Consider the following 14,973-nt stretch of genomic DNA (forward strand, 5'->3'; position numbering starts at 1 on the left):
GACATGGTTTCTTTCTGGTATTGGGTTTGATTATGATCAGCTTGGTGGAGAGGTACAACATATCAGTGATGGTGGAAAAGAAGAGTAAATATATATGCATAAGTATGTTTTTCTGACTAACTCCATTTGATGGTTTCTTGGCAATGTCCAAATCGATGCATAGAAAAAGGCTGTTATTTCCCACTCGACCCAGCTCAGAGAAAAGACCAGACTCAGGTACGAGCCATTCACAAAAAGGTTTAGTTGGCGACCTTAGGTTGGATGAGGGCCAACTGCTACTGTCTTTGATATCTATACTTCCAGGCAGCCTTTATTTTCCCAGTTTCTTCTCCTTTGTCCTTAATTCTCCTCTCTCCTCTGAATTAAGTCCCAAACCTGTTCAGGTAGGATTTAGCCAATCTAATCCCCTCTATATTCAAAACAGAACACTTTACCCTGGACAGGCCAGTCTCCTCGTTGCCCTCAAATGATACTCAATCCTGCCTCAATATTTTCTCTTATATTGTCCCCTCTGTATAAAGATAATTAAAAATAATAATAATAGCAGCTACTAATTATTGAATACCAATTTCATGTGAGGTACTGTCCTAGATGCTAATCAATACATACACACACACAGAACCTAATTTAATCCATCCATCTTCCATGCGAGAGACATTATTATTCCCAGTTTTGGAGCTCAGAAATCTGAGGATTAAAAGCTTAGACAACTTTATTTTTAGCAGCTGGCTTTGTCTGTTCCATAACCATTTCCTAAAGTATGTACCTTAGAATATTGAAGTTGTTATTTGAAAAAAAAAAGGTGAGGGAAAGGGCAATGGTCAAATATATTTGGGAAATGCTGCATTGAATTAATTTATCAACTGAGCCTCTGCTGTGCTAATTTGTGTTGCTTTTCTTCAATGTTTACATATTACACAGCATTTCCCACTTCATGTATATCATGCCATTCAACAACTGCTTTAAAAAATTATTTGTTGCTGTTTTACATCATTTTGTCTTGTCACCAAAATAGATGGCATTTACATGAAGAACGGAATGTATCTTGTATTTGTTTCCTTCCTATGTTAAGCACATAGTGGGTGTTCGATAAATGTCCCATAAGTGGCAGGAACACGCTAAGCTCCCTACACCATCTCTTTTCTTCTTACAACATTCTTTAGTAGTTCTCCTTGAATTTCCATGCCTCCAATTTCCTATGTCCAAGCTAATATTTACATGTAAAAGAAGTGACCTTTGGATGTTCTGAAGTTGACTTCTAATCAGCAGTAGAAGTTTCTGCCCTCTGACAGCATTTGATTACATTTGGGTAACTCTTCATTCTCTTTTTACCCAGGTAAGAGTCAATTTTTCAAACAGCAGAGTCCTTAAAAGGTTTTGAATAAGAAAGGAAAAACGTAATTTAAATAAGCATTCTATACCTGGCAGTTGGGAAGAATGAAAGGGCCATAAACAGTTCATCAGAAAGCACCATGGTGTGTTAAAGTATAGGTAATAAAATCACAGTATCATTTAAGAAAGCACTATAGAGACTTTGAAATGACTTTGCTAAACTGCAAGAGTTGCATTAATTCCTGTTTCTTGCGATTACACATGAGCATGACTGCATTTGGAGGAAAGCAGTCACACTATTTCTGCCAAGTCCTTGCAGATTTATGTGAAAATTGGAAATTTCTGTATCTTTGCAAAACTGATCGTGAGCTTTTAAGCGCCTAAATGTAAGAACGTACACATTTTTGCATTTTTGAGGCTAAAAGGCTGTCTGACATATTCTCTCTCAATTCCTTAGTAGCCATCTACTTTCCAGAGAGCTTCAAACCTTGCTATATTCCAACTCTGGTAGTTAGTGGGTGATTGATAAACAGCTGCTGTATTTTGGATATGAGGTTGAAATTGGGGGCAGTTTCTGGGAAGAAAAGATGGAGGAGCCTGGAAGAGTTTACCACATTTAAAGCTATATTTAAGAAGTCTCAGCTACCAGAGCAAGTAGCAAGAAATGACTAGTGATTATCTTTAATGTATAGAAAATCCCTGAGTACATAAAATATAAAAGCTACAGTTCTGGGTACAATAGGAAGGAAAACTAGGACCCAGAACTACAGCTTTTTCTCATCTTCTCTTCATAGGCAAGTATTTTGGACTTTCCTCCATTTGCTGCATAGACCTCTTGATTATCATGTATTCCTATATCCTCCCACATCTATTACAACCACCCATCATTCTATTGAAATGATTTCCAAAATTTGCGCCTGGACTAGCAACATCAGCATCAGCTGGGAATTTTTTAGAAGGAGAAATTTTCTGGCTTCACTGCAAATCTGTGAAATCAGAATCTTGGGGTGAGAGAATGGGGACTGACAAGCGAATCTATGTTTAACAAGCCCTTCTAGGAATTTCAGTGCAGTATACCATCTGAACACCTCTGCCCTCTTGGAACTACTCTCTCAAGGTTCAGTCATTACCTCTGATTCACAAAGTCTAGTAGTCTTTCCTTAGACCTGATCCTTTTTCATCTCTGCATCATGTCGCATCACTCCTTGAGACTTCCCCTGCTTATTTTCTATAATTTTGTACTACCCCAACTGATTCTCTTTTTATCTCACAATATTCCATTATCTTTTTCATGAACTCCCCTCCCATTTTCTAGGCTTTTCCATAATTAAATCTCACCTTTTTCCACTGTGTACTTTCTCTCATGAGCATCTGATTCATCTCTATGATCTTAATTATTAAGTTTAGTCACAAGACTTTTAAAATTTTATTTTTCATCCAAGCCCCTCTATTAATCTCCAAGTTTGTGTTTCCAATTGCTTGTACAGAAATGGCATCTCTATGTTCCATGGACTCTTAAAAGAAAAACATCAAAACCCAAACACCCGGTCCTCACCACCCCTAAGCAGCTGCTCCCATTTCTGTCACCAGACTCGCAGAGAAGAAAACCCAAAGACTCAGGCTCATCTTTGGTTTTCATTCACTCCATGATCAATTACTTGCCAAGTCTCATTGAGTCTGTTTATATTCTTTGCTTTTCCACCAATTTTCTTGTATGTTCAGCTTCCAGTCGTCTTTCACTTTAGTTCTTTCTAGTTATTTCTACTAAGTTAATATTCTGAGTATTAATACGATGTTTTTATTGTATCATTATGAAGACATTCAATTATTCAATATCTGCCACCATCTCCTACAAAAAGTCCTACTTCATTAGCTTGACATTTAAGATGATCTATTATCTATGATGTGACTCCAAACTTCCTTTCCAGCATTTTTTTTCGTTTTTTGAGACGGAGTCTCACTCTGTCACCCAGGCTGGAGTGCAGTGGCGCGGCCTCGGCTCACTGCAACCTCCGCCTCCCGGGTTCACGCCATTCTCCTGCCTCAGCCTCCCAAGTAGCTGGGACTACAGGCGCCAGCCACCACGCCCGGCTAATTTTTTATATTTTTAGTAGAGACGGGGTTTCACCATGTTAGCCAGGATGATCTCGATCTCCTGACCTCGTGATCCACCCGCCTCGGCCTCCCAAAGTGCTGGGATTACAACCATGAACCACAGCGCCCGGCCATTTCCAGACTTAACTGTTATTGCTCTCTGTTGTATTTTGGTCAATCCAGGAGACACTCCATCGAAGAGTCTCTAGGATTTATTATCACTTTTAATACTCCTGTAGTTTTATTTTTACTATTTATTATTATTATTATTATTTTGGAGATGGAGTCTCGCTCTGTCACCCAGGCTTGAGTGCAGTGGTGCGATCTCAGCTTACTGCAACCTCCACCTCCTGGGTCCAGGTGATTCTCCTGCCTCAGCCTCCCGAGTAGCTGGGACTACAGGGTTTTATTTTTTAAATGCTTTCACCCAATCTGGAATACCATCTCAATCCTCCTTCCATGTCACCTTCTTAGGTTGTCCCCATCTGAATATTATCTTTCCCTTATTTTCACCTCCTTAGTATTTTTCTTATGGCAGGCAACACATCACAAGTTATTACACTAAAATGATTTCTCGGCCACACTGTAAACTCCTGAAGACAGATACTGTGCTGGCCTCTAAGTTTTCTTTCTCACATGAGTACCCGGTGTACAATTCGTTATATCACAGATACTTAATAAATATTTGTGTACTGAATAAATTCTTCCTGCAGATTGCTTATGAGATGGTTGATGGGTCTCATTAAAGAAGCAGCAATGAGGATGAGGCAGGGGGACAGATGAGGCATAAAAAATGCAGACAAGAAATTTTTGACTGGGAGAAAGAAAGAATAGAGTTTTCCTAAAGGAGAGACTTGGGAAAGTAATGCAGATTTGTTTTCAAATTGTGAAGAGTTCTAAACACAGGCTAAGAGACTCAGAAGACTACTCAATCCGGTGCTTCCCACAGAGTTTAGCGTACTATGTAACATTAGTTCTGATGAAAATGTTCAGGTTCTAACCCATAAAATTGGGGATTCAATAGCCAAATAATTTTGGAAAATTAGGCAAACAAAAATAAATAGGATTATTTATTGTAACACCTCCTAGACCTTTCCATTTGCTAATGTTTGACTTTCCAGGAGTGTCTACAGCCAGTGGTATTGCCTACACTTTTTTTTTTTTTGAGATGGAGCCTCACTCTGTCACCCAGGCTGGAGTGCAGTGGCGCAATCTTGGCTCACGATCTTGGCTTGAATCCACCTCCCAGATTCAAGCAATTCTCTGCCTCAGCCTCCCGAGTAGCTGCAATTACAAGCGCCCCACGCCCGGCTAATTTTTTGTATTTTTAGTAGAGATGGGGTTTCACTATCCTGGTCAGGCTGGTCTTGAACTCCTAACCTCGTGATCCACCAGACTCGGCCTCCCAAAGTGCTGGGATTATAGGTGTGAACCACCGCGCCTGGCCTTTTCTACACTTTTATGACCACTAAACTCTTTTATCTCAGAGCATTCTGTGAGAATAACATTTCTAAGGAATTCATGCTGGGAAACATCGCATGAATAACTCTTCACAACTCAATATTTTGTGAACTTTTAAATAAGTAAAGGCAATTTTAATATTCAGTATCTTGTAAATGGAAGAAATAAATTAGCAGGCCCATAAAGTATCAAGGGAAAGGGCACTTCTATTTTAAGTATCTAAATATTGTTATCTGCTTCAGATAGCCCTCCAAAAGGATTTCCAGGTTATCAGCTATTTGTTGCCTGTCTCCGGATCTATCCTCCCCGACCTATCACCCACCCTCCTTCCCTATTGTCACTTATTGAGATATTTTTTTCCTGGAGGAATCTTCTTAACAATTAAAGGAAGGTAGGAAAAAAGAAATTAATTATACACACAAACCCTTGAGGCCCTTATAATTTAAAATGGATTTACTATGACTTGAAAGTGTTGTAAAAGCAACATACATATTGAATAGGTATTTGTATAGGAGAACAGAATGAAAAGCTGATCAGGAGGAAATGGAGTCTACCTGGTCTTTGGCCTTTCACAGTTGTGTTCCATTGTTTTTTTCTAAATGCCATAAAGTTCACTTAAGGAATGTTCAACGTAATAAGCACCAAATACCATATACCTGTTCCAGAGTTACACATATGCCAAAATAGTCTTACCTTTGTAATCCCTAAGAACTTGACCATTGAAATATCTTGAGGGAAAAACACAAGGTTTTCTTATAGTATTTTATAAAGATGAATTCCTCCAGATCATAAGGGAAATAAAAGAGTGTGTGTGTGTACATGTAAGTGTGTAGAAAATGAACTTAATGAAATGTTTTTCCAGTAGATGGAAAAGGTCCCAAATTAATCAGAGAAAGGAGTTCACATGTGAATATCTTCTTGCCCAATTTGGAATTATTACCACTAGAGATTATTAGGAATTACCATATTCTAAGTTTGTAGATGTATAATAAATAGAGTATAGTCATTAATATGGCTCTTCAATTTTTTAATATGATCCTACTTTTTCTAGATTTTCTTCTAAGCACTCATATCCTCTAGCCTGAATTTATCATCAGGTAAGAAAATTTTAATAATTTTTTTTCTGAAATTCTTATGAAGTATTTTACTTGAATGTCCCAGAATTGGAATACATCATTAAGAATGTACGCATGTCACATAGAATGTTTAAAGGAATTCCACCGATAGGTTGATTTGACACAGGGTTTGAAATATGGCTGAAGCAAGCCTGTGGACAGCCCCTGTAACTCAGGCTATCCTCTGGATAAGATGAACATGTTGCTCATTCTATTATTTCCCTTGACATGATTGGATCTACTCCTTTACCATAAGCAAGAACTCATTCCTTTGTCATCAGCAAAAGCTAGAATGGCTAAATATGTTCCATAGTAGAAACTACAAAACTGTAAGTAGGTACATATGCAATTGCCACAGAAAATCATTGCTTTCAAGATACAAGACTACTGGCTGCATCACACACACACACACACACACACACACACACACACACACACACACACACTCACACAACAAACAAATGAAAAACGGTATGGTAAGAGCAGAGTCTTTGATTCTCTCATTTACCAGTGACTCACCAATGCTTTGTAGAGTGTCTGACGTATTAGGTACTTCATAATTATTTGTTCAATAAACGAATGAATGTAGGAATGTATGATTTTATTTTCTACTCTGGTCATATCATGATTCAACTTTAGATATATACTCTAGCATATTACTAGGTTGGTACAAAAGTTATCACAGTTTTTGCCATGACTTTTAATTACTCTTAATGGCAAAACCACAATTACTTTTGCACCAACCAAATATTAACACTTTTATTAAAGGAAGAAGAGTATACATTTTCATCATTCCATCCCCTACACAGCCAAGACTGGTGTCCTGTTGGGAACAAGTACTCAATATATCTGTTAAACAGAAGACTGGTTAAAAAACTGTCTCTTAATTTTTTAGAGTACTTAGGTATTTGATCACCTACCTCATTTTATGTCAAAGAATTCAGTAACCCCTCTAATCTACACTGCCCAGCAGGTAGCCTTTCACTAAGCTACAGGCTGAATGGCCACAAATCTTTATGTCCTTGGAAACACTTGACTCACTGGACATGCATGAATAGTCCAATCCGTCTTCCCCAAGCAAGCGTGCTGGGTGGTATGCGCTTTCAGCAACAATACTGTCATTCTCACTTACCATCTAAATCAGGAGAACTCTTGACTGGTTCTGTTCCCTCTCTAGGCACTTTGTTTATTGCTCCGGCCAGAAGGTAGAACCATGTTCCACTCACCCCATTTGATTCTATGATTTGAATCTACTCTGTTTGATGTGCTGGTTAGAGCTGGAGTCTTGCTTGAGAAAGGACATGAAAAATTGCAGGAAATCACAATCAAGCCTAGCAACATCAGGTGAGTGAAAAGCAGTGTCCAATTTCTGAGACTACCTCAGAAAGCAAAACCTCACCTGGATGCTGATGTGAGAGGAATATCTGGATGTATTTCTGTGAGATATTAAACAACTCAAGGTACTAGAAATCACTTAATGGAAAAGGGACATGATTTCTCATGAGGAGCCTGAGCTATGGCTCCATTCTTGCCCACATTAGCTATTATGAGATGAAAGCAGGTGGAAATTATTCATTCCCTTCAAACTCACATTCTTAAATGTTATCTTATAAAATAGCTTTATCCTAATCTTCTGCTTCCAGGGAAATATGACAAATGACTCCTCCCCCAGAGAAGGCTGAGGACCCTCACATACTTCAGCACTTCTTTGCTACTCTATCATCTTAGGTACAGTCATTGCTCGAGAGTCAGCAGGCATTATACATGACTCCATTGACTTACCTTTATTATTATGAGGCACAACCCGACTCCCTCACCCCAAGGCTGCTCTAACATGCCTTAGCAATATGATCCCCTCCACACACACGGCTCCACATCAGCCCAAATTCTCAGGGTCAGACTTGTAAGTACTCATCTTTCAGAGTATGAGGAAAACTCTCCAAAATATATGGTATGCATATATACTCCAAATCCTAGAACATATATACTGAAATATAGTATATAATATCAATACTCTCCAAAATATATTGTATTAACACTACTCTCACATTATCCATATCTGAAGTGAGTTTTAGATCTGAAAGCAACATTTTATAATTGTACTTAAACCAAATTAACCAAGTTCATGAGAGGAAAGGGGGAAAAGGGTGGCCTAAGGAGCCCAAGCCAGTAAGGAGGTCTGTATGTTGCCTGGGTTTGCAGGGGAAGAGAAGACATGGCCAGATGAGAAGGTCCCTGGAAGCAATTGACACTTGGCCATTTCTACCTTGCCTGGTCATTGTGGGTAGTTTGTGTTGTTTCTGCTGGGCTGCAACTCTTTGAGGGCAGAGGAGGTACTGAGGTGTAATGGAGGATGGGCTCCAGAGTCTTGGGAGACTAGATTAAAATCCCATTTCCTCTGTTTTCTAGTTCTGTAAGTTTGGGAAAGTTCCCTTACTTTCGGAGGCTCAGTTCCCTCACCTGTGACCCACAAGCTAATAATAACCTGCTTCCAAATCTGCCATACAACACTGTTCTGATAGTCAACAATAATGTATTGTACACTTAAAAACTTGTTGAGAGGGTAAGTCCTATGTTCAGTGTCTTACCATTCACACACACATAATATAATAATAACAACCTTCTTGCAGGTTATTATGGAATAATGTGAAATGAAATAACAACTGGACCCAGAAGACAGAAGGTGCTCAAAAGCCTTATTGTCTTCTATGAAGTGCTCCCCTCAGTATCATGCACATAGCAGGAATCAATACATAGAGAAAATTGTTAAATGGGGATTATGACTTATTCACCATTGTTTTGTGGGTATGGAATATGATGCTGGGGATGGAGGAGACTCCTAATTTTTATGCATATAAATAAAATGTACCAATTATTTATTGAGAGATTCATGTAGATCTCCGATACACCTTGGTAATAGAGAATTTAACAAATAAATATTAAAAAGTACAATTTGTATCTTTAACTAAGGCAGAGATAAGATACAGTTTTGCTCACAGAAATTAAAGTGTTTCCTAGACTAGTTTTAAAGTCCCTGCCATGTCAGACAGAAATCACAAGAAAACCAAAGTAATGAGTGGGCATCTCTCAGATTACTGAACTATATTTCATAATTATCTAATAAGAAAAATTATATCTTATTTGATGTTATGTATATTTTTCCACAAAAAAATAAAATCTTTATATACTACTTGTTGGCTAGAAGTGTCACTTTTAGAAGTGTTACTTTCCTTAAACACACTTCTGTTTATATATCAATAACATACCTGTACATTCGAAACTCTGGTGCACACCCATTTTTCAGAGAATTTTTACTCATCTGCAAATGGGCCCAAGCCCACGGAATGCAGGTCATCTACACTGAATGAACTAACAGTAATCACAGCCCTCATCTTGGCCTCTCTTCAAATATCTCTGGACCTCACTTCAAAGAAGAGGGCTCCCCTTAGTCCAGATGCATTTATAATACAGTGAGGGCACCTGATTAATGGGAGGGGAGAAGGACTGACTTATAGATTGACTAGCAATTGCCAAGGAAGACGTTGACTTTGGCTCACAAGAAATAACTCTCCTTCATCCCTAAACTTTAGTTTACTCATCTGTAAAACTTGTCACTGTTTTGAAAACTGTGTCTCCCAGTTCCTGAGGAGTTCTAGGGGAAAAGAGGGAGATGACTGGGCTAAACACTGGGTTTCTTCTTCAACTTGAGCAGCTTGTTTTCTTCATGCATTTTAAACTTTCCATTGCAGAGCTTTCTTTGAACAAAGTATTACTCTATAAAGAATCTACTAGATTTGTGGCCTCAGCCTCTACTTCGTAACTGGTTGGCATTCATTCAAAATGTTTTTAAACATCTCTTTTAGGACTCAAAAACATGTTTAAGTGCTAAACAGTTTACTGCAGTTTACTAAATCCATTACTAAACATACTAAATCACATTCATTATCTCATTTCAACATTACTGTGAGTTCAAGATTACCATTCTCCTTCATTTCAAAGAGAAAGATGCTGAGTCTCATAGAGGTAGCCACGTACCCAAGGTGCACAAGTAGTCAGTTATGGAGCTGACACATGAGCATGTGTCTCAAGTCCAATCATCCTCCACCCATAGCATGCCACTTCACTCATGTTAGGGGCTCCAGGCTAGGCTGTGCAAAATATGGACAGAAAGTGAAAATGGCGGCGGGGTGGGGGGGTTATATAGTCTTATTGTACATTCCAAATGTGCTCTGAATATTCAGGCCAAAATATTATTTAGCCGTTTCTTTTTATATCACCATAGAGTACTGCAGAACGTAGTTTTGGTGTTCATTTCAGTTTCATCATCTAGGGGAATATGAGGACAAAATATTATTTAATTTTACGCCAATTAGTGTTGAAGTCTGGCATGCCTTATCTAGTTCTATACAACATCTTCTGATCAAATATATATCTGAAATCAGAATAGCCCAGTCAGAGGGAAAGGAAACTGGGTGGGGTGAAGGGTGAAGAACATACAAAAGCAGCACTATGTTATCTCTAGGGGGGTTGTTTCCGTATCTCGAAGAAAAGAAAATTTGGCACAGAATTTGGCTTCATGTTAAGGGGACCTTTGTACATATTATTATCTGCACTTCATATTAGAGAAATCTGAAGTTCAGGTGAGTTAATGAAACTGGTAAAGTTCACACAGGTAGTTAATGGTAGATCAAAGATTCACAGCCTAGTGTCCCCAAAAATAGTTTTAAGAGATGCAGTTAAAATTAAACCACAGTAAAGAGATATGATCTCATTAAACCAAATAAAGCAAAATAAATGTATTATATTTAGACACCATATATTTTCCAAAGTAAATGTTTGTCGAAGGCTATTATAAAAGGGCTGGACTTTTATTGAATTCTAGAGCTTGGTGAAAAGAGTCTGGAAGACAGCTGTATCTTGAAAACCCACGAAGGAAGAAATGTGGGATGGCAGTTGGGTTTTGAGTACCAGTTCTCATTAGCTGGCTGTAGCTTCCTGAATGGCTGTTTTGAGAAAGTATTCTGAGGCCTTGACCCAAGTCAGCAGGAAAGAATTCCATATTCAATTAGCTATGTGTGCAAGGGGTGTGGAACCACAGAAGTGGTGGCATGAGTGCTGCATGTTTCATGACGTTTGCTCTATCTACTGAAATCAGAAAATCACTTACGCTTCTTGCAAACACCTTATAATCATTTTTAACAATGAAAGGCATTTTGAGACTTGCTGCCACGTCCATTCAAACAAACCAGATAACCATTCAAAAAACCCTACATCTCTAGGTATCATTCCAAAACAAACAAACCAGATAACCATTCAAAAAACCCTACATCCCTAGGTATCTAGGAGTTTGCTGAAAATGGCCAAAGTACCATCATCTACTATCTTCAGTGCACAAGCAAAGCGTATCTCACTTTCACCAAGTAAAATTAACTTCCTGAAAGTCAAAGAACAGGAGTCCATGTGAGATAATTAATTATTCCTCTTTTTGACTGAAATGGCCACTGGAAGCTATATTTTTATGGCAAATAAAATATTATACTACTATCAAGAAAATATAATAACAAAAACACTTTTACAACCACCGAAAGTGGATCTCAGTAACTCTTTTGTCACCAATAGTGCATATGGAGTTTCCTAACCAGCGAATAAGTATACTTCTTCTTTAGAACCATCCTAAGGAAAAAAAAAAAAAAAAAAAAAAAAAGCAGCAGGGAGAGAAATTGTCTCTTAAACAAGTCTTGCCATTCACAACCTGGAATGGACCTCAGGATTATAAATTTCAGTTTCCTGCTAAACAAGAATGTGGTTGAAGCCAGAACCAGCCTGACTGGTGTAGACGATGACGCCATGCTAGGCTACTAAGCTAACTCACCCTGCCTCAGTATCCTCACCTGTGCAGCGCTAGTCATCTAGTTTCCCAGCACCTTCTTAAAAGTGCCTCTTGTGTTATTTCAGCTCCATGCAGATTTTGAAGGGAAAGTGTCCCAGAAATGAAAAGGTATATTATTAAACACACACAGAGTTTGTGGCCCTGAGAAGTTAAGGTCTTCTCCCAATGTCATCCAGAAAAGCAGTGGCAGAGAATGAGTGTCAACCCGCTCAATGTGTATGAAACACAAGATAATGAAAGAGGTACAGATGCCACCTAAAATTCCACTGCCCAATTTTGACAATTGTGTTATTTTTCAGCTCTGTTGGAGATTAGAGAGGTTTTCATAAAATGTAAAAATACTGTAAAATGTCTAAGGGTCTAACTGTCTCCTGGTGACATGGACTTGGCAGCAGATGCTTCTTTCCGGTTCCTGGTCTGCCTCCTCACACTCCTTTGCCAGCACATTTCCAAAAGGTATGAGCCAGACCAGCGGATGCAATGACTGAGATTTTTCTCGAAGTTACTCTAAAGGCTAGCAGCATGAGCATCATTAATACATATTACTGGCCAACTATCACAAAACAGGGTCGGGATCCTTCAGACACTGGAGTACAAAAGCCTCCAGGCAACTCAAGAGCTTCAATGTAAAAGGTAACTTGTAGGAGAATCACTGGAGCACAGAGCTGGAAGAGGCCTTACATGGTATGGTGAAGGCTTTAAATTCAGCACGACTTTGCAGGTTTAGATCCTGGCTTTGCCTTATACTAACTGTGCTATCCACCATTGATATATGTATGCCTTTAGCATGATGTGTGGTACATGGAAAACTGTAGCTGGCATTGGGGCAGAAAGATGACTTTTCAGCTTCCTCAGATTAAAGATAAGGAACTTGGTCCAAAGAGGAAGCAGCTTACCCAAGACCACCCAGTGGTTGTACTGATTCTAAGCAAACATCACAGTTCCAAGAAGGCTGATTTTGTGGACTGGCTTGAGATGCTTCCCATGTGCAGGGGTGTGCATCTTTGGTTATCATTCAGGATGCTTGCTATGAAACTCTATTCCCCCCTTTAGAAGGCCACACATCAGCAATTTTCCTTCATAGGTATGAACTCATAAAGTTCATAGAATCTGTTGATGCTGCCCTTGAGATAGGTTATTGAGGTAGTTACGAAGTGAAATAAAATTTAATGCAGCTCAGCTTTTGTTTATGTAAGTCAGTCCATCCAGTAGTCCAGTAGCACTAGGTGCCACTTTTGTTTTTACTTTCATTGTCTGGTTTATCTGAAATGACCTGTTTCATCTATTAATTCATCAAACATTTATTGAATATTGACTGAAGGCTAAAACCACGCCATATCTTTTAAGGAATAAAAATATATAGTTGGCATCCCCATGGTTCTAATAACAAAGGAGCTTGCAATTTCACTAGAGAAGATGCTTTGGATAAACCTGAAGGACTGACTGGCAAATCTGAAGGGGCAGGATTGGGGCAGAAGGGTTGTCTGGAATCAGGTAAACCTCACCTGGTCACTAGGGCTTTGATGACCTCGGGAAAGCCCCTTAACCTCTTCAGTCCCCATTTCCATTCTATAAAATGAAGACAATAACAGTAGCTTATAATAACTTACAGGGTTATGGTGATCATTTTTTAAAATGATGCATATAAAGCCTTCTCCACAATGCCTGGCTGCTAGGCAGCACTCAACAAATGTTAACTATGTTTGTAGTTTAAGCAGTGGGTTCAGAGTAGATTTGGAGATTCTGGTTCATTGGAAACAAGTGAGGAAGTGAGGTATTATTAAGTCATGTTAAGGTTAGAGCTTAGGTTGTATTTCGACCATTTGGGAGGCAGCTTAGTGACTGAATATTTGTGATTTCAAGAGGTGGTTCGGACAGGGTACATTTTAAGAAATTTAATCAGGCAAGTGAGATGGATCAAAGAGGAGAGCAAATCAAGTCAGGGAGACTGGTTATAAAAATAATAATGTGGGTAAGAGTTAGTAGAAACTTAAAGATAGTGCAGTAGATAATAGAAATAATGAAGAGGCTGTCTGAAGATAATTAGACATCACTGGAGATAGATAATAAGATGGAGGAAATTATAGGTGTCTTCAAGATTTCACACAGAGTTTGGAAAAGTAAAGAATGATGAGTAATAGAATCAAGAGGGCAAAAACAAGGTGTCCAGCTTCCTAGTTCTCAGCATATATCTTTATAGCCAGAGCTTGTGAGTGGCAGGAAAGTATTCAACACACATCATGTCTTATATTCAATTGGAACATTTTTTAAGAAGAGTAGCCTCAGCTCTCAGAATTCAAATACATACCTATTATAGAATCTCCAGCCTTGCTGCTTGCTGTCTTAAAGGAATTGGTGATGTAGACAGAAGTCCTAAGAGTTCAGATCTTTATGCCAGTTCCTTAAAGACAATATTATATGTGCCAGGGTTGCTACAGTTCAATGTTAGTGTATCTTTCTGAGTTCATAAATAAATGTTGTTTTGAATGAATGATTTGGGAGTAAACCAGAAGAATTTCTGCCTTTGACAGACAATATAGTTTTAAGGGGACCACCCCTTTCTCTCTGTTGCTTTCCCAGCCCAACATCTAGAAATCCAGCCTCTTTCCCATATAGTCTGTATACAAATAACCTAATAGCTTTACCTACCATGTATTGGGCACCTGCTATATATCAGGCCGTGTATAAAGTATTTTAGAGCCATTATCTCCTCTAAGACACCCCTATCAGGTAATTATCATCCCAATTTTACACATGAATGGACTAGACCTAGAGCAAATTTTTCCAAGGACATTCAAGTATCTGACGGCAGAGCATGATTCACAACAAGTTTAAAGCAGTATCAAAACAACATCCTTGAGGGCATAATTGGGACTAGAAAAATTGAGGAAGAATATATTAATATTATATTCTAGTGTTTACAAAGCACTCATTGTCTGTGAATGGAAATTAACACACCAATCACAGTATGCTGCCTCTTGTTCTAATCTTTTCATATTATGTTCAAAGGAAATCTGGTTTTATTAACTTTAAAACTTCAGAGAAAGATGATTTAACTCTGATCCTTAGAATACACTGCAG

At 38.5% G+C, this 14,973-nt stretch overlaps 1 protein-coding gene across 14 annotated transcripts in view, besides 1 other annotated feature; it reads right to left on the reverse strand.

The window, feature by feature from the left end:
* The window catches only part of TRPM3 (transient receptor potential cation channel subfamily M member 3), a 917,912-nt gene that overhangs the window by 512,352 nt on the left and 390,587 nt on the right, over positions 1 to 14,973 (reverse strand). The window lies entirely within an intron of this gene.
* Positions 6,733 to 7,234: an enhancer, noted in NCBI's record as "NANOG hESC enhancer chr9:73663060-73663561 (GRCh37/hg19 assembly coordinates)". NCBI's record gives its function as "activates a minimal SCP1, AML or CMV promoter by ChIP-STARR-seq in naive H9 embryonic stem cells {active_cell/tissue: H9 hESC(naive)}" and the evidence as "EXISTENCE:reporter gene assay evidence [ECO:0000049][PMID:30033119]".

The sequence above is a fragment of the Homo sapiens genome, chromosome 9 (genome assembly GCF_000001405.40).
Source record: "Homo sapiens chromosome 9, GRCh38.p14 Primary Assembly".
NCBI classification, from domain to species: Eukaryota; Metazoa; Chordata; class Mammalia; order Primates; family Hominidae; genus Homo; species Homo sapiens.